The sequence below is a fragment of the Homo sapiens genome, chromosome 4 (assembly GCF_000001405.40).
Source record: "Homo sapiens chromosome 4, GRCh38.p14 Primary Assembly".
NCBI lineage: Eukaryota > Metazoa > Chordata > Mammalia > Primates > Hominidae > Homo > Homo sapiens.
Genome location: NC_000004.12, coordinates 83,983,619 through 84,008,239, shown reverse-complemented (window position 1 = coordinate 84,008,239; position 24,621 = coordinate 83,983,619). Strand labels below are relative to the sequence as shown.

General features: G+C 36.4%; 1 long non-coding RNA gene across 1 annotated transcript in view, besides 1 other annotated feature; it reads left to right on the top strand.

Moving 5' to 3' along the window:
- The window catches only part of LINC02994 (long intergenic non-protein coding RNA 2994), a 331,088-nt gene that overhangs the window by 290,930 nt on the left and 15,537 nt on the right, over positions 1-24,621 (top strand). The gene's annotated exons all lie outside the window — the stretch shown is intronic.
- Positions 11,509-12,217: an enhancer, noted in NCBI's record as "NANOG hESC enhancer chr4:84917176-84917884 (GRCh37/hg19 assembly coordinates)". NCBI's record gives its function as "activates a minimal SCP1, AML or CMV promoter by ChIP-STARR-seq in primed H9 embryonic stem cells {active_cell/tissue: H9 hESC(primed)}" and the evidence as "EXISTENCE:reporter gene assay evidence [ECO:0000049][PMID:30033119]".

Genomic DNA, 24,621 nt, shown 5'->3' with positions numbered 1-24,621 from the left:
CTACCCAACTTCCAGACTTAGTATAAAGCTATGGTAGTCAAGACAGCATGGTAGTGGGGGGCAAAAGAACACATAGATCAATAAAACAGAATAAAAATTCCAGAAAGAGATTTATACAAAAATAGGCTCTTCAATAAATGATAATGGAACAATTAAATGCAAAATAATGAATCCAGGCACAAACCTTACACTTTTCACAAAAACATCATTCAAAAATGGATTGCAGACCTAAAAGCAGAAAACTACAAAACTTTTAGAAAATAACAGGAGAAAATCCAGGTGATCTTAGGTTCAGTGATGATAACTTTTTAGATACATTAAAGGCACAAACCATGAAAAATTGGATTTTATTAAAATTAAAAATTTCAGTTTTTCAAAAAACACTTTTAAGAGAAAAAACTAGCCACAGACTAGGAGAAAATATTAGCAAAATTCATATCTGATAAAAGGCTTGTTTCCAAAATATACAAATAATTCTTAAAACTAAACAATCAGAAAACAATCCAATTAAAAAATGGGCAAAAGATGTTAACAGACATTTCATTAAAGAAGATATACAGATGGCAAATAAATGTATGAAAAGAAGCCCCACATGTTATGTCATTAGGGAATTGCAAATTGAAACAATGAGATACTACTACGTACTTATTAAAATGGCTAAGAAAGATTTTAAAAACTGCCAATACTAAATTCTTACAAGGATGTGAAGCCACAGAAATTCTTATTCATTGCTCGTGAGAATACAAAATAGTACAGCCACTTTGGAAGACAAAGCTAAATTTAGTCTCACCATACTAAGCAGCAATCATGCTCCTAAGTATTTACCCAAATGAGTTGAAAACATATCTACACAAAAACCTGCACATAGATACTTATTACAGTTTTATTTATAATTTCTACCAAAATGTTCTTCGATAGGTGAATAGATAAACTGTGGCACATCCATAAAATGGAATTCATTCAATGATAAAAAGAAATGAGCTATCAAGGTTCAAAAAGTCATGAAAGAACCATAAATGCACATTGAGAATTGAAAGAAGCCAGTCTGACATGGCTACTTACTCTATGATCCAATTATATGACGTTCTGAAAAAGCCAAAACTACAGAGAACAAAAAGATCACTGGTTGCCAAGTGAAAGGAAAAACAAGGAGAGGAATAAATATACGAAGCACAGATAATTTTTAGCTTGGTGAAATTAGTCTGTATGGCACTGTAATAGTAGATACATAACATTATATGTTAGTCAGAATCTACAGTATGTTCCAGCACAGAGTGAACATTAATGTAAATCAATTTTTTAAAAAAATTTTAGGAAGAGGATCTCAAGAAATAATGAAAACTATGACAAGAAAATCTAACTTTATGAAACAAAGTTGGGAGACTAGATGCTGACCTAAGTAACTTTGGAAATGAATGTAGTTTGTAAGATTGAAGGCAACAAAAACTGTACATTAATGTACTCTAGTTGATAAAGTTGTTTCCCTTAGAGGTCTAGGTTAAAAATTCTCATTATATATACTGGAATTAACCAAGTAAATGGATGATAGATGGTGGAACCCAGGTTATTCACTTATATAATGGTAATTAGCAGAGAAGGAGGCTAAAATGATCCATGTGCTAGTGAATTTGAGTTGGAGACATGAGAAAAACATCATGTTTAACTTAATGTACAGATTTTTACATGTAGAAATATATATATATGTCTGTATATATACACATGTTAATACACACATGTATTTTTGTTCTGTTAGCTGAGAGGATCTAAAAGAAATAGTACCCTAGCAGCAACAAGCACACCTAGCACCTTGACCTTGTTTTCCCATTTTAAAACAGTTTCTAATACTGTTTTCCCATTTTAAAAAAGACTGTGTTCTTGGCAAAATGGCTGGTTCTAGGACTGGGACAGGAAATATACAAGATGAGCCTTGAACATCTCATAGTGTCAGACAGTAAGGAAGTTTTCAAAACACAAAACAGAATTAAAAAACACATTGATGGGGGTATGTCAAGAGGTCATTGGAGCCAACTGAAGAAGCTCCCAGTGGCTAAAGCTGGAACAATTTGTGCAAGAAAATAAATAAAGTAGTATTATAACTCAAAGTACAAAATAAATATCCATGCTATTTATAAATATCCTAATAAATATCCATGACATAATTATATAAATAAATGATTAAATAAATTAATAACTGGGGAAAAAGAGACAATCTCCCATGCAGAAGCCATACACACCATATACAAAAGTTAATTCAAAATAGATTATAAACCTAAAGATTAAACATGAAACTATAAAACATCTGAAAAAAATAAGATATGTGTACAATCTTATGTTAGATAAAGGTTTCGTAAGACACAAAAATCACAAAGTGTAAAAAAAATTGGATTTTATCAAAAGTAAATTTTGTTCTCTAAAAGACACTGTTACTAAATAAAATGGCAAGACACAAACTGAAACAATATTAACAAAATATGTATTTGATAAAGAAAATCTTTGATTGTATCCAAAATATGCAAAAACTACTAAACTCAAGAATACGACAAATAACCTGACTTAAAAATGGGCAAAAAAAAAAATTTGAACAGATATTTCACCAAAGAAAGTATATAAATTGCAAATAAGGGTCTGAACATATGTTCGACACCATTATTCATTAGGAAAATTCAAATTAAACCCACAATTAGATACTGGTACACAATTTCTAGAAGGGCTAACATTAAACAGATTAAATTATCAAATGTTAGTGAGGCTGTGGAACAACTGCAATGCTCATATACTGCTGATAGGAATGTAAAACTATACAACCACTTTGGGAAACAACTAGGCAGTTGCTTATAAAGTTGACATACATTTACCATATGACCCAACAATTCTACTCTTTGGTATTTACCCAAGTGAAATGAAAACACATCTGTCATTTGCTGTACAGGTTATTTCAACACCCGGGTATTAAGCCTAGTACCCATTAGTTATTTTTCTTCATTCTCTCCCTCCTCTCACCCTCCACCCTCTGAAAGGCCTGTGTGTGTTGTTCCCCACTATGTGCCCATGTGTTCTCATCATTTAGCTCCCACTTATAAAATACCACATGTTCTTATAAGTGAGAACATGTGGTATTTTGTTTTCTGTTCCTTTGTTAGTTTGCTAAGGATAATGGCCTCCAGCTCCATCGAAGTCTCTGCAAAGGACATGATCTTGTTCTCTTTTATGGCTGTATAGTTTTCTACGGTGTATATGTACCACATTTTCTTTATCCAGTCTATTGTTGATAAGCCTTTCGGTTGATTCCATGTCTTTGCTATTGTGAACAGTGTTGCAATGAACATATGCATGCATGTGTCTTTATCATAGAATGACATATTCCTTTGGGTATATACCCAGTAATGGGATTGCTGGGTCAAATGATATTTATGTTTTTAGGTCTTTGAGGAATTACTACACTGTCTTCCACAATGGCTGAACTAATTTAATAACAAATCTACACTTGTACCCCTGAACTTAAAAGTAAAAAAAAGAAAATATAATAAGAAAGAAGGAGATAAATACAGTCACTCAGAAATAACTGTTATGAACATTTTTGGAATATCTATGAATCAATCATCTTTTTATCTATCTTGTATGTATGTTAATGAATCAATCTATATTTGAAATCATATAATGCAAACTATTTTGAAATTTAATTTTAACTCTCCAGCACATTAAGAACATCTTTCTCAGCAAACTATTGCAAGGACAAAAAACCAAACACTGCATGTTCTCATTCATAGGTGGGAATTGAACAATGAGAACACTTGGACACAGGAAGGGGAACATCACACACCAGGGCCTATTGAGGGGTGGGGGGAGGGGGGAGGGATAGCATTAGGAGATATACCTAATGTAAATGATGAGTTAATGGGTGCAGCACACCAACATGGCACATGTATACATATGTAACAAACCTGCACGTTGTGCACATGTACCCTAGAACTTAAAATATAAAAATAAATAAATAAATAAATAATATCTTCTATAGTTTTAAAGTTGGTTTTAAAAATACAGGAAAGCCCTTTGCATGTGTTCCTTTTGTACTTAAAAAGGGAGGGAAGAAGAAATAAAGAAAGATTGAGGGATGAACTGAAACTCCTCACTGAACAGGCTTCTGCCACTAAGCACTGCTTAGGAAATTTTTTAACAATCACAGAAATTATTTTTAATTAGTTATATTTGTCCCATGTGGCTCACAGAAAAAAACGTTCAGTTAAAGTGAGAGATTTTGTAAATTTAACCCAGAAGAGAGTTGTTCGTATAACAAGGCCAAGCTTTTTATTTTGGAAGGAATAACATATAAACTTCAGTATTCTTGAGACTAAGTGGTCTTGAGAAGAAAATCAATTTTTTTGTGGCAGGAAAATATATTTGCTCTTAGACTATTAAACAGCAAAACGAGTGACAGCCATTGCTATTGGAGACCTGGAACGAGATTTGAAATATCTATTTCCCAGTGTCCTCTAGTACTGTGGACGAGGGTTCCCTTCTCTTCCCTCAGAGCCCACTAAAACAGGGGCTGCAGATCAGATTTTGATATCCAAATGCAAGCTGAGGATGCAAAAGGAGGCAATTAGGTTTGCAACTTTATTTTAGAATGAATCAGAAGTGACAATCTGTCGATAGATCATGTAGTCAAACCCAGCAGGAAAGAGCCCTGCCCACAGAGCGGGGACAGTGTAAAACTTCATGGTGAACAAGGTGTTGCTCCAGGGAAGGGTGAAGAATTGGAGCTATTAATGAAACAAATGTATTGCGATCAGCTGTCATGGGTGCAGTTATTCATGTACCTTCCCCGTGCCAAATCCACTCACTCTCATTCTAAGACCAACAAATGTCTTTTCCAGGCATGGTCTTAGGCTCAAAGTCCTGACACAAATCATGACAGTTCCCTGGACAAAAACTTCTGGTAGCTCCCCAGTGTATTTAGAAGTGTGTACAATGCCCTTGACAATCTGGCCTCAACCTTCCTTCCCAACATCAATCCCTACACATGCTCAGCCTCCTCCCCAGGGCAACCGATGTCTAGCCTTCCTTTATTACTTACATCCCATATATATTCTGCTCTTTTGTGCTTTCATTCCTCACACTGGTTCTTCCCTCTGCTTTTACTCTCCTAGGGAAACAACAGCTCTTTTTTTTCTTTAAGTTTTAGGGTACATGTGCACAACGTATGCATATGTAACAACAGCTCATTTCTATCACTAGACTGTAAGCTCCATAAAGGGAAGAAATAAAACTGATTCATATTTGCATCTTTAGCACCTAGCACAGGGCCTGGCACAGAATAAGTATCTAATGAACATCTGTTGAATAAACTAAAGCATTCAATTATAAAAATTGAATCCTTTGCAGACAGTTTAACTGGGAAAAACTTCATAGAATTTCTTCCCTAGGTCAATCCAGCTCTGTCTGGAAGTAGAATCCTAACCTAGGTGTTGCTTAGTAAGAAATGGCATTCAATTCATAATTTATGCAACTAGATATAGGCCTTTTGCTCTAATATCATATATAATATATATATATATGTGTGTGTGTGTGTATACACATACACACACAGACATTGTTTCTATTCATGGTCTATCCAAGAAGACTGAGAATCCAATTTATTAGAAGCCCCACTCTTTTCGGTTTGTGTTTCAGTGTACAAGGTTGGGGAAAGAAATGGGAAGACTTAAAACACAGTTATAACATGACAGAGGAAGAAAGGGAACAAAAGAATGTGTAGGGAATGATTAAGTGCTTCTGAATTTACACAGTGAAATATGGACAAGTTTAAATGTCTTTGCTGTTTGCTTCTTTTCAAACTGTGAGCAATTTCAAACACCCCATGCTGCTTCAAGATTAATTGAGTTCTACATGCTTTTAGCTTGCTTTCGGTACCAAGGAGAAAGGATTGCCACAGAATCTGTATTTGCCAGAGCAAAGAGAATATCTCATTAATGTGTATGATTAATAGCCATTTGTGGAGTGATTAATTGGTCATTTGACAATAAACTGAGACTATGTGCATGCTTTTGCTGGACTTCACATTTCACATCTAGAAGAAAAGGAGAGAAAGTCTTGTTTTTCTCTGCTTCCTTCCTGCACCAAGACTGGAAAAATCCAAAGGCCTTTGCATATTCTGGTCTTGTCTGATTTCATTTGGTTTGTCTTTAAGAACAATGGCCCTGAAATGGAAGCTCTCTAGCATGATTGATGGCTTCTCTTTCTGTCTGCAAGTTGGAAATTCAGAAAAGGATTTCTCCCCTCTAGGTCTTACTGCTTATTGGTACAAGAGTTATTTCCACTTTGCCGCAGAATTGATTTGCAACATTGGTGTATGAGTTTGTGTATTTTTCTCACTGGCCTGTCACAAAGCGTAAGTCAGCAAGTCTTCTGCAGTATGTTGGATTATGTAGCCAGGAACCTCCTAGTAATTTTTCCATTAAAAGGATGAGCATATTGTCATCAACTTTTTAGAACTGGAATCATCCAAATTCTGTACCATGACATTTTACAAACTATATTATTTAGTAGCACCAATTTTCCCCACATCCAATACTATCCATTGTGCTTCAGAAAGATTCCTGTATTCCTGATTGCCCACTCTATAAAATAAAAACATTAGGAAAACACTGAGGAATCAATGGCAATAGGCCTAAGCTTTCATCCTGCTTTTTTCCAAATGAAACCATTTATTTAATTCAAAGGAGGTAAAGAATACACAGAAAAAGGATGAATTCTTGCTTATCTAAACTGTTACAAAGAACCATTCATACCAGGATATACTGAATAATTCAATTAACCAAAATGATAACAGGAGAAGAAAAATCAAACCATAAACTCCTGATTTCTAGTTTATTGTTTAAGAAAAAAACACTTAAACATAGAAATCATCATCTTCCCCTCTACTTGTTTCTTTCCTCTCCTCCATCGCTATATAATTTGGCGTAGGATGTGTGGGGCAGGGGGTTTATCACCTGAAGGCTTTTTTGGTACAAGATGGAATAAAACAATGGAATAAGGTAAATGTTTTAAAAAGTGTAATTTGTTTGGGAGAGTCATCATAATGGTCAAAACAACAACAACTGGCTTTGGAATATGACAAAGCTGGGTTTGAATCTTGCCTTCACCGGTTGCTAATTGTATCGTGTGAACAAGTAACAATCTCATTAAGCTTCAGTGTGCTTTTTGGTAAAATAGACGTACTAGTAACCACCTCATAGATTGTGGTAAATATTATAAGATTAAGATTAAACCTTATAAAGTAAATGTTTATAAAATGTATAAACAGTGGCTGACACATAACTAAAGTTCCCTAAATAATTAGATACTGAATTCCATGTGTGTGCATGCACATGCTCATGTGTGTGTGTATGCAACACTTTTGGTACCATTTTTCACCATTTAGAGATGCAGCATGCCTCTACAGAACAGCTTCTTATACAACCATGTTGATATAGTTAAATCCAAGGGTCCAAGGGCTCTGGGCATATAGAGATCCCCTGAAGCAGATCTGCAGTCTCTGAACAAGCAAGACTTAAACTGATGAAAGAGAAAGAAAAAGTCTACTCTTCAGAACATCCTGTTACATAGACCTAATTTTAATTAGCACATTTCTAAAGAAGACTCAGACTAAGAAACACATCTTTTAGTAACTGACATGTTACTAAAAGGCTAACATGAAGGTCATATTAAGCTTTTTCCATGTTACCAGTACACACACACACACACACACACACGTATCACAAGTTGTACTCAATAGACATGGCTACATTACTATTTCCCAAAACACTGGAGGGAAAGTGAGTGGCCACCTGGAGTGAAAAGTTTGAGAAGAGCTAATATCTTTTCTTATCATTTTAAGACATACTTTCTTTTTATATTTAATGTCTTTGAAATCAGAGATGTCTTATAATCAATGGTGTGTCTTAGTTTAATTGGCAGCACTTTTTATTTCTTAATGGAACATAAAATATTAGTATGACATAATTGATGAAGTTTTAGATATGATGAAATATATTAAATTGTATGCATGAGTCAAGAGCAGACATTGCCACAAATTCTCAGGTGTTCCATTAGGTGGCTTTTGGCCAACCACCTTCTATTTTATTAGTCAACATTTAAAAGCAAAAAAGCTGTTATGGATTTGGGTAGTAGAATATGCCTCAATTTAATAATGATTTAATTGGGGACAGTATTAGACAGGGTAACAACTTTCTTGAAGATGTGATAATAATTTCTACAACAGTCTCCAAGAAATATGTATTATTATGCATACATAATAATAGCCTCATCTTCTGAGATCAGCACAGTAAACTTAATAGGAATTAATAGACTGCTTCAATGTCACTTGACAACTTCCATTACCAAATTTGCCATAAAACTAAATTATATATCTCCAAGAAAACTCAAGCGATATCATATCCAAGTCACGCTGTTATTTTATGTAACTTCAAGTGAGCAATAAATATCCTTTGATTTTTTGATTCACTCTAAGTGTCTAAATTCAAGTGAAATATTGCAGGTTAAGCAACTAGTTGACAATCCTCCCTTTTATTCTTAAGATTTCCTAAACTTCTGAATTCAAGCCTCCTACGATTATTTTTAAACTTAATGAATTTTTAATGTAATTCTTATTTTTTTCAACTAATGCAAATGGCATAATGACAAGATCACATGGATTATTTATAAATTGATAAGAATATGAGCTTAATCTTTGGCATGAATGATTCCTGCTTTAAGAAAACATTTTGCAGCAGTAAAGATTTTATAATAATGAAACAAGTTACTAAACAAAAATTATCTTTTCTTTCATATAGAATTTATCCTTTATATCTATTACTTAGGATTTGTCTACCTATAGATAAGAAGAAAAAGTGAGTTTTAAGTCTCCAGCTAAGTCATTACTGTGTTTTAATTCAATCATAGATATCTAAAAAATCTCTAGTAAGTAGAACTTTCACAAAACAAAGAATAAAAATGTCCTTCCTGAATCATGCAACTTAAATCAAAGTTGGGAAAATCAAATGGATTTCAAATTAATAATATATTACACTGCCTCTTAAATATGTTTAGACAGTGTAATACATTCACTAGTATACCAGTAGACTAGTAATATATACTATGTAACTTATTAAATAGGGAGAAAACAAAGACTCTTGTGTTAAGCTATAAAGCAACAGTAAGCACAGTAAGCCAATTCTAGCCTCATATTTAAAAGACTTTAATAATAATGAAAGTAGCAGGATGAATGGAATTAAATTATATGCAACTAATAGCAAGATTTTCCAAATGTCTAAAATTAAGACCAAATTCACAAAGTTCCAGATTAATTTAAAATTTGGATAAATATCTACAATGGACTTGAGTTCTGCAATTATTCTGTGGAATATAACTCAAGTATTCACTTAGAAGTTTTCATATTTAAAATAGCTAGAGTGGCATTTCCAAATGTGCTATACTATTTCTGGATTATACTTTCGGGGTGTGCTTCCGTGTATACATATGTGTGTGCATGTGGGTGCATGTGTGTTAGCTACATTAACAATGTGGCAACAACAAAGCTTTATCCATTACTCAAAACCCACTTGATTTCCCACCCAACCGTGAGAATATGACAAATGATGGAAGCCCAGTCAATGACTTGCTGTCTGTTTTAAGTTAGTACTCTTCTCTTGGCTCAATTGCTGTCTCCTGTGTGATATTATCCAAATTAGTTAGTTTTAACCTTTTTTGGATTCATACTCTTCTTTGAAATTATAATGAAAACAAGAAAATTTTCCTTTCAAAAATGTCCATAAATTCACATGGACTAAATCCCTATCCAATTTCAAGGGATTTGTAGCATTTAACATAATGGAATAGGCAGATGAAATGGGAGAGATGAGAGTCTGTGGCACACGGATGGTGTATGTCCTCCATCTGATTTTCACCATGGGACAATGTATGTCTACTGTTGGTTTTTTTGGTGTTTTGTTTTGTTTTTGTGTTTTTCATGGGTTTTTTGTTTGTTTGTTTTGCTTTAAAAGAAGCTGGAGCTTAAGATCATTATGTGAAATCTGCAGATTTTTGATATTGACAACTAATTTTTTTAAAAACATAAGATAAGACAACCATATTTAGAAACTCAGTATAACCAGTGAGTCTTCAGGTGTGTATAACTTCTGCCCAGAGACCCCCATCTTAAGACTCCTTATCAAAGCAGTAGAATTGCTGCAATCATTCCTAGAAGAGCTACTCCTACTTGTCTTGAAGAAAGGGAGGAATTGACAGCAATAGGTTTTAATGCAGTAACTTCAAGGTGTTATTTAAGAATGCCTCTAATCAAGGAAAGAGTCCTCTCATAATCTCAAATACACAATCCAATATTTCTGATATGGGCTATTCTCATGGATTCCCTCATCCTACCTTAAATACCTTCCAAGTTCACAGGGTACACGTGCGATACATGTTCATTTAGGGTCCATTATTTCCAGGCATTGTGCTAGGCATTGGAGATACAGTGATGACAAACACACTTTCTCCCTTGTAGGCAACCACATTCTAGTAGGGTTAGAGATGTATAAAGAATTTATTGTATGATGTATGTGGTATTATAATAGATTATATATCAAGACACAATAGAAATAGGAAAGAGAGAGAGGGCACGTCTACATAGGGACTCACAAGAGATTTCACACAAGAGCAAGTCCATGGGAAGAAGTCACCAAGCAGGAAGGGGAAGAATTACATTCTAGATAGAAGAAGGAACATGTGCAATAGCAAAAAAGAGGGAAACGGCATAGACCAATACAGTGCTTTCGAAAGCAGTAGGGAGCTTTTTCCGGCTAGAGTGAAGATGTAAGATTGTTGATGAAGAGATGGATGGGGCTTTGAATACTCTGCATACCATCCTAAGGAGTTGAATTTTTCTTGCTCAAGATGGCTGTAAGTAGGGTAGTGAACTGGTGACTTAAAGATACTTAAATCTGACTCTGAATGTCCCATTTCATACTGGCAGGTAGGCACACCCAGTCTCATCCTAGACCATCCCCCACTCAGGGTTGCACATTTGTTTACATAGAAATGGGCACAGGCAGCTTGACTCCACACACTATGAGGTTTTATTTCCTGGAGACTACTTTCTAGCTGGTGGAACCAACAAAAAAAAAGCAGCAAACTGTATTTTTACATTAAACAAAATTAAAGGAAGAAAAAGAAAGAAAAGTAAAAACAGGTATATTTGCAGTTTGATATATTCCAGTGTAGTAGGACTCATTGACACTGGAGCTGTCAGTGAGGAAAGAAAGGAATAAGTTAACCTAGTCCACATAGAGAGACATTTGAAACAAAACTCAAAACCTGGTCTTATATAGAGAGAGACACAAGAACCTGAACTCCTTCACTCTGTCTGATTACTTCTGCAATAACTTGCTAGTTTTATTTAGGAATCTCTCTAGCTGGGAATGAAGTCTCTTACATCCGTCAAGTACTGGCACTATATAAATGAAATAGCATTATAAAACAACAGACAGATATCTACACCTACGCATATTAATGATGTACTAACATTTCACTGTGGTTCCGAATTTGTAATGAGCTTTCTGCCTCTGCCAAGTGCACAGTGGCACAGTATTGGTAACGTGTGTGCAATCACACCTTTAAAATAAATGCAGTCCATTAATCAAATATGACCCACAGTAGCAGAGGAAAGAAATCCTGAAAATGTGATTTTTATTTTATTGCTTGCCCCTCCATGCAAGTTTTGGCTCCCTGCCGGCTGCTGATGGAGAGCCATTCCTTGTGACAAGGGGCCTGGAGCTGATTGTAAGGGAACCTGCTGTGTTCCTTTAGTGTACGTTTAAAAAAAAAAAAAAAAAAAGAACACAGCATTTTTTTTTCTAGGTGGAAATGTGCTGGTAATGCTTGCTTTTTTGGCAACTTTTTATTGATACATAATAATTGTATATATTTTATATTTACCAAGTACATGTGATATTTTAAAAGTCAAAGTATTTCAGACACTTTCTTCTGTGCACCTAAGCCGTGTAATTAGTAATAGAGCCCAAGTCCTGGTCACAGAGGATCTGTGTTGCAGGATAAAAGAGAAGAGAGATCAAGACCACTCCTCAAGTCTTATTTGCACCTAAAAACCTAAGGATTGTTCCCTCCTTCATCCCATCCTACCTCCTCCCTTGACAGGTCTTGCTTTTCTGCTGCCTTTCCCCAAAACATAGTCTCCTCCATGATTTTTATCTCTATGAAAGGGCAGTAGCCACTTCAGAACCCCACAGACTATTGCCTGTAAAATCATATCTGGTTGATATCTAGGTTGGAGTTCAGCATAAACCTTAGGCTATTAGGAGGGAAATTATAGCCTCATTAAAAGAACAATTGCACAGGTCTAAGAGGAAAAATGCATAATGACATAAACCTAATCTTTCTTTCCAACTACTCACTTTGGTTTTATTCTAAGAAATGGAGTAGCAGTTGACAATTAACATAATAATTAATCTAACATAATTATATAATAAAATATATAGGTTATATATAGTATACAGTATATACTATGTTTATATACAAGTATATATTATATATCTTAATTTGCATTTCTGATTACATGAATGATAATAAGCATTCTTTCATGTATTTAGCCCCATTTGGATTTCCTTTTCTGTGAACTGTGAATGTTCACATCATTTGTCCATTTTTTTCTTGTGTTTTCACCTTTCTTACTGTTTTGTAGGCATTCTTCATTTACTAGGGCACTTAGTCCTTTGTAATATGAGTTGTGAATTTTCCCTCAGTTTATTGTTCTTATGACTTCACATATGATGTCTTTTGCCACAAGTAAGTTTTTATGTATTCAAATCTCTCAATGGATCAAATCTCTCAATCTATAGCATCTGGATTTTGAGTCATAGTGAGGAAGTTCTTCATTAAGTCAAATTATGATTCTCTCATTTCGTCTGGTACTTATATGTTTTATGTTTCACAGTGAAGTAATTGATTGGTTTAGAATTTGTAGTGGTAAGTGACATAAGATATAGATCCAAATTTCTTTTCAAATGTCCATTCTGTTAATGAAAAATCCAAGCTCTGTAAAATATTTTAAACAAGTCTATTATGAGCCAATATGAGTGACAGTAGCTTGTAGAAAACCTTTTGCTATTTTTTATTGATACATCATAATTGTATATATTTTATATTTATCAAGTACATGTGATATTTTAAAAGTCAAATTATTTCAGACTCTTTCTTCTGTGCACCTAAGCCATGTAATTAGTAATAGAGCCCAAGTCCTGGTCACAGAGGATCTGTGTTGCAGGATAAAAGAGAACAGAGATCAAGACCAGCCTTATGTATCAAACCCAAGAAGCCTTAACTAAGTGGTCCCAAGGCAGTTAGGTCATAACTCTGTTTTATACATTTTAGTGAAGCGGAAGTTACAGACAAAGTCATAAATCAACACACAGAAATTATATATTGGTTTGGCCCCAAAAGGTGAGATATCTTGAAGTGGGGACTTACAGGTCATAGGTGAGTTCAGAGATTCTTTAATTTGCGATTGGTTAAAGGAGTAAAGCTTTTTCTAAAAATCTAGAGTCAGCAGAAAGGAATTTTTAAGATAAGGAAGGCTGTGAACCAATACATTGGGTCAAAGCGACCTGTAAGTGTGTGTGATTTCACCCTTGCCTGGCATGGCCTTAGGTCCCGTTTTTAATTTGGTATCTCAGTGTCACAAAGAGTCTGTTTTGTTAGTCTTATGATCTCTATTCTAACATTAATGCTGGTCAGTTGTTGTGTCTAAACTCCAAAAAGGAGGGTGTATAATGAGATGTGTCCGATCTCTTGTTGCAGGACTTTTCCTTAGTTCAGCTAAAAACAGGGTTCTTTGTCCCACGGCCATGAAAATTCAGACTCACAGATAATTTAAATGTAACACAGGGTTTTATTGGGTAAAAAATAAGAAAAGGGGGAAACAGGGACTCCCACAAGGCTGAAGTCACTCTGCTAGAGTGCTTCCTGCTCAGTTGTTCAAATCCCAGTTTCCACACAAGGAGAGGAGGGGCCAGGCTCCTCCCTGCTGCAAACAGCGTGAACTTCCCAAGACTCCACCCTGATGCTCATTTCTCCCAGTGCACAGGCTGGCTGGAGTTTCTCTGTGGGCCCCCTCCCACCTGGCTGTCTCATTCCCCCCTCTAAAGAAGTATATCTAACTGCTGCTAGATTAAAGATAAGGATGAAGACCGATCTAAACCGCTTCCTGCTGACAGGGGGCGCTGACAGGGGAAACGGCAGTCAGAGCTCCCTCAGAGGCCTATCTAAGTGGTCTCAGCAAAAGGGACCATTGTCAGAGACTCCAGCTGCATGACCATTTGGAGTCTGATGGCCTGAAAGCAAGAACAGAAAAACTGGGTTACTAGAAAACATGTATCAAATCGAAACAAGCGGGAGGTAAGGACAGCTCAAAAATTATGAGGCCTTTTACCAGTTTGCATAGGGTGAGGGAGGCCAAAATCCTGACTGGTAAAAAAATCTTTACCCTTTTGTCAGATGTTGGGCTTCTGGGTTCCCTTCCAGTGAGCCCAATCCTAAACCAACCAGTTTAAGGTTTTGGAAATTAACTTTTTCCAGGTTGGAGGATGCATCTGAGGGGAGTGTCTCATAGTACAGAGACACAATTACCTATTGATGAAGAGAGAATCGAGGAGGAAAAAGGAAAAAAGAAGGTGTTTTTTCAAAGGAGTCCCAGTGGTTCAGGATGCATTTGAAAGGGGTACAGACTGAAGATGAATGGCTACCCTACTAGAAAGAGGGGAACAGGTGTCCCTCATTTCCTTCTCTTCCTAGCAGATACCCAGGGTAAGTGAGTAAGAGAAGGAAGAGTGTCCCCTTTCTCTCTTCCATCCTTGCATCCCTGAGTCCCGGTGACCTTGGTAGGTCCTGCCATGAGTGTAAAAGCAGCTTGCACCCATGACACAGGGAGGGCCTAGAGAATAGGAATTATCTGCTCTCACCTATGCCTCTATCCCCCCTACTGTCAGTAGCCTTGGAGTTCCCTAGACCTCATTTATACCACGGATATTAACGTGGCCTTTATTCATAAAACAGGAAGCTTGGGGTTGGCTTAATCGGCAGGAATCAGCCAGGCTCACCTGTGCTGTGCCTTTTAACCTCTGTTGTCATTTGCCTCTGGATCCCTCAGATCCAGTTTTCCTTCCTAGAGCTTTGACCCGAAGCTTAGAATAAAGTTTGGGACAAAAATATGTCTCAGGGGGTTGCATGGACTCCTTATCATAAGCCAAATGCTAAAATGAAACTGTGGAACTGAGTCCTTCTCCAACAAGGGAGAGAAAAGGATGTCTTTTGATACATCCAGATAACTGGTGGCTACAGTTATGCTTGTTAGGATTTGGGTGCATGGTGCTTGGCTTTGGTTAGTTTTCTTGGTCCTACTTTCCCCAGAAGGAAACCTCTGGGTGATGGGCATTCTATGTATTCCCTATTTATTCCATCACCTGGCAGGATTTGCAGGATAATTGCTCAGAACTAGAATATTGATCCAGATTTCTATATTACCCATCCCTTTTGTTCTTTCTGAGCTGCAGCAGAAGATTTCTAGTTGATTCACAGGAACAAGCAGGGTTAGTCTAAAATGTAGGCAAAAACTTTAAAACAACTAGTGAATATAGAATTTAATAACAAATATATGATAAGTTTTGAAACAAGATTTCTCTCTCTCTGCAGTCCTCATGTTTGTTAAAAAAAAAAATCATCGTGGGCCTGAGTGGTTTGCAAAATAGACTTTAGTCTTATAATTGGTCTGATTATTTGCGTAAAGTGTAGCAAGAATAACTATTTCTACATAGGCCTTTTGGATTGTCTTTGATGGAAGTCTGTTCCACAAGGAATCTCAGATAAGACCTTTTAAAGCCAAGCCTAACCATGGGTTTATCCTCAAATACCTGTGAGTTAGGTAATCCTCTCCTCTTAAGGTCCCATAATAAACTTGGAGCTCCTAGATCTGTTAGAAAGTGACATTCTTTACTGACCACAGGTCAGGAACCCTGTACAGGAACTGTGTAGACAAGGGTATGAGGCTACTTTCCCCACTGGGCTTTTATTGGCTCTGCATATCAAGATTGACTCGTTTAAGGGAAGCATACCCTTCCAGTCAAAGCCTTGATAAAATTACCAGTTTCTCCAATTGTGTCCTGTTGCAAAAGAAAAATGGATTCTTATTGCAGTGACACAAACAACTATATTGCCATAAGAATATTCACAGATATAGTTTCCAAATTCTAGAGGAATCAGGCAGAGAGAAACAAATATGCTCCAAATTTTGATCACAGGAGTGTATACCTTACTTAATTATTAAAGGCTGTAAATAGTTCAAAATAAGTTTCCTTGACACTGGAAAACCAAACAAGGATCAGCAATGTACCAAGCAAAAGTAAAAAAGGTTTGCTGCAGCTTCCTGAGTTCAGTCCATTTAGTTAACTCCGGTTTTGCTTGATATTCATGAACATTTCAGCTCTTTGTGAGTCCTGTACATATTGCTTCATTCCAATGTTAACAGTCTCTAAAGTTATCAGAAGCCTGTATTTGAGAGCACCTGTTAAAGTCCTATAGTTCATTATAAACCAGCTTTGAAAAAGATTAAAACAAGACAACAATTGTCTGTGAATAGCAAAATATCTAGGGTAGTTACAGTAAGAAACAAGATTGACAGAGAAGTTTGGTTATCTCCATGGTTTACGATAACATAACAACCTTAATTATGATTCACAGCATATACTTAGACATTAGAATTTTGGAAATCCCATACAATTGTGGAACATATATTAGCATTATTCACCAAGACATAACCTGAAGAAGATTGAGCATCATTTTGACAATCCCACATTCCTAAACATGTCAAATAATCTTGTTTACCTCTCTTTTCTGGATACTTCAGGGGCCCTCTGATGTATTCAAAAATCCAGGTGCCAGGGAAGACAATTTTGAAACTTAAGTTTGATTTGGGGAAGCCTTATAAATATGTTTAAAGCAGTTGATATTATGAAATAAAATTCCAGATGACCATATGTTATTTATTTTGCCAGAAAGATGACTCAGAAATTTGAAAGAGGCAAAACCTTTTATAACCCTTTATAAATTTTGCCAAAGAGCAGATTAGCATTTTGAGAGTACCTTGTTATGCTTTTATTTTAATGCTCAATTTACAGAAAAACCATATAATACCCTTCCAAATTTAGTCAATATGTTCACATAGAGAACCTCTTCTGCAAGACTAATTTTGACAATTCTTCCACCACTTCTTTGAACCTTCAACTTTTTCCTATCTAGTTTAAAACAATCCTTAAGCTCTAGGCAAAAGTTTACACTTCCATGCCTTCTTATAACCTTTTACTAAAAAACACATTTCACTGTTTTTACATACCTTGCATGTAAATCTATTTTCAGCAGTCTCAATTACATGTTATAATGATAACTCCTAGAAATTTTTAACTTTAAGGTAAAACTTGGTAAGTTCCTTTAATTGTGTACTAACTGCAGCCAGGTTTGCCTTCTTAGTTAAGAGTGTGGTTAGTTCCATATGTCCCCAGGCCTTACAAGTTGTGAAGCCAGCAAGTCAAATAGTTCTCAAAACCCAAAAAGCAGTTTGTAACCTCAAAACACTTAGCAAACTTTGCATCTGACCTGCATTTTACTAATAGTCTTTAGGGCTGTTTTTACTTCTCAAAGATTAAAGTCATGTGAACTGAAAGGTACCACAGCTTTTACCTTCCCTTTAAAAAACACTTGATCCAAGTGCTTGTCTTTCTTTAGGCCAAATTAATTAGAGCTCTTTTTAAAGATATTACACACAATACACACACAGACAGACAGAAGCAATACACACACACAGACAGGCAGAAGAAAATGCAATCCCCACAAGATCCTTTTTCACAACCAAAGCTTTAGAGAGTACAAGCAGTGACAGCTGGAGGACCTAGCCTAGTGAAAACATCTACGAGGAAAATAAAAACTTTAAAGGTTAACTGCTGTGGGGTTGATAAGGGGAAGAAAAAACAGTTAAAAAAAAATGCCTGGGGAAGAACCTCTTATTTTATGCAACTGGTTCCTTCACCAGGAGAAAAGCTTAATTACTGTTGATGGAGTAAAGCCCCTTGGCTGGGGAAGGGGAAGCCTCTGGTGGTGTGTGGTGGAAACCACAGCCAGCTGGCTGTGTGGGACCCTTGGACCACGTGTCCCAGCCCTGACAGGGAGGGGAGAGTGGTGTGGAGCTGCTGCTCGCCCGTCGGTCCTGAAAAAGGAAGGAAAAGACCATGAAAATCTCCGGGAGTGACGGAGGGTGTGGGCATAGTTTCCCCCACCCTCAGAAGTCCAAGGATGAAAAGACTTAGAAGCAACAGTGAGAGGTTTTGAGTCCCCATTTCACTCACCACCTCTTGAGCCCCACATTGGGTGCCAAAAATGTTGCAGGACTTTTCCTTAGTTCAGCTAAAAATGGGGTTCTTTGTCCCACAGCCATGAAAATTCAGGCTCACAATTTAAATGGTGAGTAAGACAGGGTTTTATTGGGTAAAAAGGGGGAAACAGGGACTTTCACCAGGACAGTGTCCCTCTGCTAGAGCACTTCCTGCTCGGTCATTGGGATCCCAGGTTCCATGTAGGAAAAGAAGGAGCCAGGCTCCTCCCTGCTTCAAATGGCAGGAACTTACCCAGGCTCTGCCCTGGTGTGCATTCCTCCCAGTGCACACGCTGGCTGGAGTTTCTTTGGAGACCCCCTCCCACCTTGCTGTCTCACTCTCATCCCATCACAGCCAAGAACTCAGTGTTTCAGGTTTCTCAGGGGTCCCCTTGGCCAAGATAGGGTCCACTCAGTCAGCTGGGAGGCTTAGGATTTTATTTTTAGTTTACTAGCCAAAACATGTATTGAGAGCACCTTTTTTCATCCTTGTATTTGAGATGTCACCATTTTCATATATTATTGCTATATGCATTTCTGTCTATTTAGGACTTTCCATTCAATTTTATTGGCCAGTTTTATTTTGTTCTGTTTCGTTTTCACAGTCCAATAGTACACTCTTTAAATTTTGAGACTTTCTAATATATGTTAATATCGGTATGATATTTTTTCTCAGTACTCATTTTTTAAGAGTATTCCTGGAATTGTTTTATTTTCCCATATGACACTTAGGATCATCTTTTTCAGCTCCCTCCTTCTGCCCCATCCTCAAAAAAAAAGCAGCTGTGGCATTTTTATTATAATCAAGAGTGTTTTAATTTGTAAAATAGAGAGTATTATCATCTTTATAATGTTAAACATTCTTATATAAAAATATAGTATGCATTTTCATGTATTTGGATCTTGTACATTTTAAGAGTGTTTTTGAGTTTTCTTAGGTCTTACATATTTCCTGTTTAGCCTAGATAGTTTTACCTTTTTTAGCGCTATTGTAAGTGGGAAGGTATTTTTTTAATCACATCTTCTAACTAGTTGTTCTTTTTATATTTGATTACTATATGTTAATTTTGTGGCTGTTTTGATTGTTTAGTGGTTTTAAATTAATTCTCTAGGGTTTTACATTAAACAATCAACTATTTGAAAATAAGATGCATTTTTCCTGCCACTTTCCAATTTTTATACTGCTTATTTCTACTGTCTAATCACCTTGGCTTATACTTCCAGTACAATGTTGAAGAACAGTGGCCATAGCAAGCATGTTTCTCTTGTTCTTTAATGGGAATGTTTCTTATAATTTCTCAATAAGTAATGTGTTTGCTTTGGGGATGTTATAGCATACATGTTGAAAAAGAATTTAGCAAAATTTAATATTCATTCTTGATAAAATACTCAATAAAAGAAAAATCGCTATTTTTATCATATGATGCACTATATCTCTCTTCTGGGTTCTGATAACCGCTCACATTCCTCATCCCTTTGGGCCTAACTGGAGCATTAGTTCTCCTGTTACCAGCCAATTGTTGGGTATGCTACACTATTCCTGGTGGTCCCTTACGCCCTGCACACACATTTATAAATAGCTCCTTTATTAAACCTTCTTAGATACCCTAATATGAGTATGCCATCGCTGTCCTGTTGGGACTACAACTGATGCAGACATTTTCTCTTGATGTCCACATTCTTTAATAGTGCAAGCCAGAGCCCTTCAAAGAGCCCAACTTCAGCAAGATAAGAAGAGTGCACCAGAATGAAAATCCATGTACTATTCCTATCATTGAGAAAGTCTTAGTTTAAAAAAAAATTAACTGGACTAAACGGCATGTTTAGTGACATACTTGATTTACATTCCTTATGTAACATAGTTACATAAGAGTTTACATAACAGGATTTACATTCCTGTCACTAACCAGTTACAATGCTGGCTATAAGCATGGATCGGCTGCTGGCCCAAGGACCACACTTTCAGTAGTACAGGTACAAACAGCATCAGATTTGCTGATCTTCAAAGATTTGAAAGACTTCTCCTGTGAAAACATTAGAACCTAATAATGCTTTGGAGAAGCTCTTTGACAGCTTTATCTGTTTATCTGTTCTTCAACAGAATCCAGTTTGTTTAGATTTCCTGTCTCTTCTATATTTAGTTTTTATTTTGTCATACTGTGCTTTTTTTCCCTGAAGTATAATTTATGTACAGAAAAAAACTGCGTAGTTCTAGTTTTGACTAATGTATTCACCTATAACGAGTGCTTGTAATCAAAATATAGACCATTTTTCACCCCCAAAAGTCTCCTCGTACCTCTTGATAGTCAATCCAAACTCTCCCCCAGGCAACCATTGATTTCTATCACTACAGAATTTTTGTATATTCTTTAATTTGTATAAATGAAATCATACAGTAAGGCTCATACACTTTTGTATCTGACTTTTTTTATTTGGCGTGCTTCGGAGTCTGTTGGTTTTTCATTTTTCTTGAAAATTGTACATGTTATTGACAGATATTGAAATTTACCAGCACAAAGTTGAGCAATGTCTTTTCTTAAGATTCTTTAACCATTTTTTTCTGTTTATTTATCCCTATTGCTTCTTATATTATTATTTTCCTCTCTATCTCTATGATTTTCTTCTTCAGATTTGATTTACAGACCATTAATAGATTAAACTCTCCAGGAAATCAGCTGTGATCAAGTTACTCTTCAGTTAAACTCCTTCACATTTTCCAATTGCCTATGGAATGAATTCCAAAGTTCTTATCCTGTCATCCAAATCTCTGCACTGTATGGTCCAACTTAACCTTGCCTGCTTCTCTTCTCAAGACTCCACTGAGAATTTTATATACTTTGATTTGCCCTTAGTTGAAAAAAGCATTGGAACCAATGATGAATTAATTGTAGAAAATTTGATGAGGATATTAGCCTTTACATCTTTCATTGTCCCCCATATAAATATTCACATAAATAAATATTCTTTATGAATTAGCATGTTTTCTTCAAATGTGCAACGAGATCTATGGAATTTACCAGGTTTCCTTTTCATTTGGTCATGGAAATTTGAAAGTCATATTCCAACCTGGAGACTGTGTAGGATTTAGAAACTCCATTTTTCTTCTCTTCAACCTTCTGTGTGTGGACCTTTTATTATCATTTGCATATTTTAATCTCTCATGTATCTGATTCTTTTCCTTTTTTATAACTATCTTTAACAATCTCCACAAATGGTCTATATCCCTTATACAGTAAAATGAAAATGCATAAAATTATCAAATTTTAGTCTGAATGTACATATTTTAAACTTTCAAATCCCTGTGCCTTTTTTCTGATTTTTTTTCTGAACCTGGACTATTTCCACCCCACTACCACCACCCCATCACCTAAAATATTTTACTCTTTGTACTCCAATGATCAAACTTCTACTTTTCCTTTTATATTCACCTTGAATGTTGGCCTTTGCATAAAATTTTTCTCACCTCCACTGGGTGAATGCAACTTGTGTAACATTCACCTCTTGTTAAACTTGTCTTACTCCATGCTTCTCCACGTGTTCGCTTTTGTCTCAGGCTGATGTCAAGATGCCTGCAGCAGTACCACGCATCACATCCAGTGCTGGGAACATGCCAATAAAAAAGGGATCCATTCTCCCGTTTGCTAGGTGGCAAGGTAACTTTCCCTAGAAGCTTTCCCTTACCATCATTATTGGCTACAGTTGACTGCATAACCATTCCTAAATAATGCACAGGAGGGGATAATGAGATTCCCAGGATTGGCTTAGACTAATCAGTTTAAATTCTCAGAAGCTGGGCATGAGGTCAGTTTCCCCTGAAGCCCATAATTGTGTGGAGAATGGCAGATACTAAATAAAATCAAAAATCAGTGAGGAAGGAAAATAGAGGGGAATATATATTGGGTTAATCAATGGTGTATTCTGTAATTGTGACTTTTCCCTCCCAGAATCTTTATATTTTGGTTGTACTTTTTGTAATTCACCTAACACTTTCTTGTATTTTAGTTATCTGTGTACTTATTTCTACTGCCTGCCAAAATTAAGTTCTCTGATAATAGAAACTCACTAAGTGCCCCACTCAGCAACCTGAAGAGTGGCTTGCTGTATTAGGTGTTCAATCAATAAGTATATGTTTAACTAAATTCCTTGTTTTCCTCCTGGACAGCATGGGTAAATGGCCTGTGTCTCCACTGATGTGTGTCCGCAGCAGGTACTTCTGTGTAGCTTCATGTTTTGGTTTGGGTGTCTGTCTCCTATTAATTACCACCCACTAGCCCACACCAATAAAGATGTTACTATAAACTTGGGTTTATTAAGTCCTGTGCTTTGATTTCCCTATAGTGAAAATGAATCCCCTATTCATGAACATTCTCTCACCTGGTTCCCCTTCTGACCCATTTTTAGAATGGCTCTCAAGGGCTAGGTGCAAACTGAGACCAAAGGACAAAGCTTTTCTCTGTGCAAAGGTGACTGGCTCACACCTGGATCCACCTTGTGGCCCAGGCCTCATTAGCACCATATTCTAATCCTGCAGAGAACTCCCAGCCAGACTTCCAAGAGCAGCAAGGACAGCAAGCACTCTGTGTCCTACCGTGGCCAGACCCAGCCAGAAGGGGCCAGGAACATCTGGTAGGATTCTGCACCATAGGGTGGCTGCAAAATATTCAATGTTTAAAGAAAGGAATACCCTCAACCTCACCAGGCCCCAGAGATACGGCATTTGAAGAAAGATGTCTCCTTGCTCAAAGCTGCTCTCTTCTCCTCAACCCTAGCAGTAACAGTAAAACTTCAAATAATCTCAGTGGCTCTTTCCTCCCACAGCATGAATACGATCTGAGTATAGTCAGATTATTGTTTCTAGGATCCAATGAAATACTTTATTTATTTCAACTAGAAATCATCCTAATCAGCTCCTTTGAAAAGGTATACCCTCTAATACATAAACAGGACTTCTCTATCATGGAAGAAAAGATACACTGTAAAACAAATTTAAAAGTTCCTAAATTGCTGAGAAGCAAGCCTCACCAAATTTCCAGCAACTGCTCTAATAAAAATACCACCTTCAGGACAGTGGGGTGCTTTTAAGCATTAGTATCTGACCAGCTGGTAAAGGGAGAAAACTGAAAAGCTGGATCTACTGGCTGGAGATCAGAACTGGCTCTTGATGAAACAAGTGACAGCAGCCAGACTAAGTGGGAACAATCTCTAGAGTCAGACATCAGCTGAATGTCCTGGTGCTTTACCTTGGGGGGAAATGGGATTTGAAGGGGGTGAGCACTCCAATGAGACCATGAAGCCTCACTCTAGAGAACTGGACTGACAGGGGTTAAATGGATATTTCATTTTCAGTTTTTTCAAAGCCAATATTAGGAAAAGTAATCCTAGTCTCTCTCTTTTCCCTCAAGCTCCCCTCTCTTTCTAATATCTCAGCTTTTTAAAATTATTGTTACAAACCACCCCTGGACACCACAGAGCAGAAACACATAAGTAAACTCTAAAAATAGTGAGTACTCACATACTGCTTACCATGTGCTAGGCACAGTTCAAAATGTTATATGACTACTAATCCATTCAGTGATCATATTAACCCTTTGAGATAGGTACCATTTAGGGATCTAATTAAACTAAAGAGCTTCTGCACAGCAAAAGAAATGATTATCAGAGCAAACAGGCAATCTACAGAATGGGAGAAAATTTTTGCAATCTACCTGTCTGACAAGGTCCAATATCCAGAATTTACAAAAAAAGTTAAACAAATTTTTTAAAAAACAACCCCATCAAAAAGGGGGCAAAGGACACGAACAGACACTTCTCAAAAGACATTTATGCAGCCAACAAACAAATGAAAAAAAAAAAACTCGACATCACTCATCATTAGAGAAATGCAAATCAAAACTACAGTGAGATACCATCTCCTGCTAGTCAGAATGGTGATCGTTAAAAAGTCAAGAAACAACAGATGCTGGTGAGGCTGTGGAGAAATAGAAACACTTTGACACTGTTGTTGGGAACATAAATTAGTTCAACAATTGTGGAAGACAGTGTGGCTATTCCTCAAAGATCTAAAACCAGAAATATCATTTGACCCAGCAATCCCATTATTGGGTATATACCCAATAGAGTGTAAATCATTCCATTATAGTATGTGTATTGCA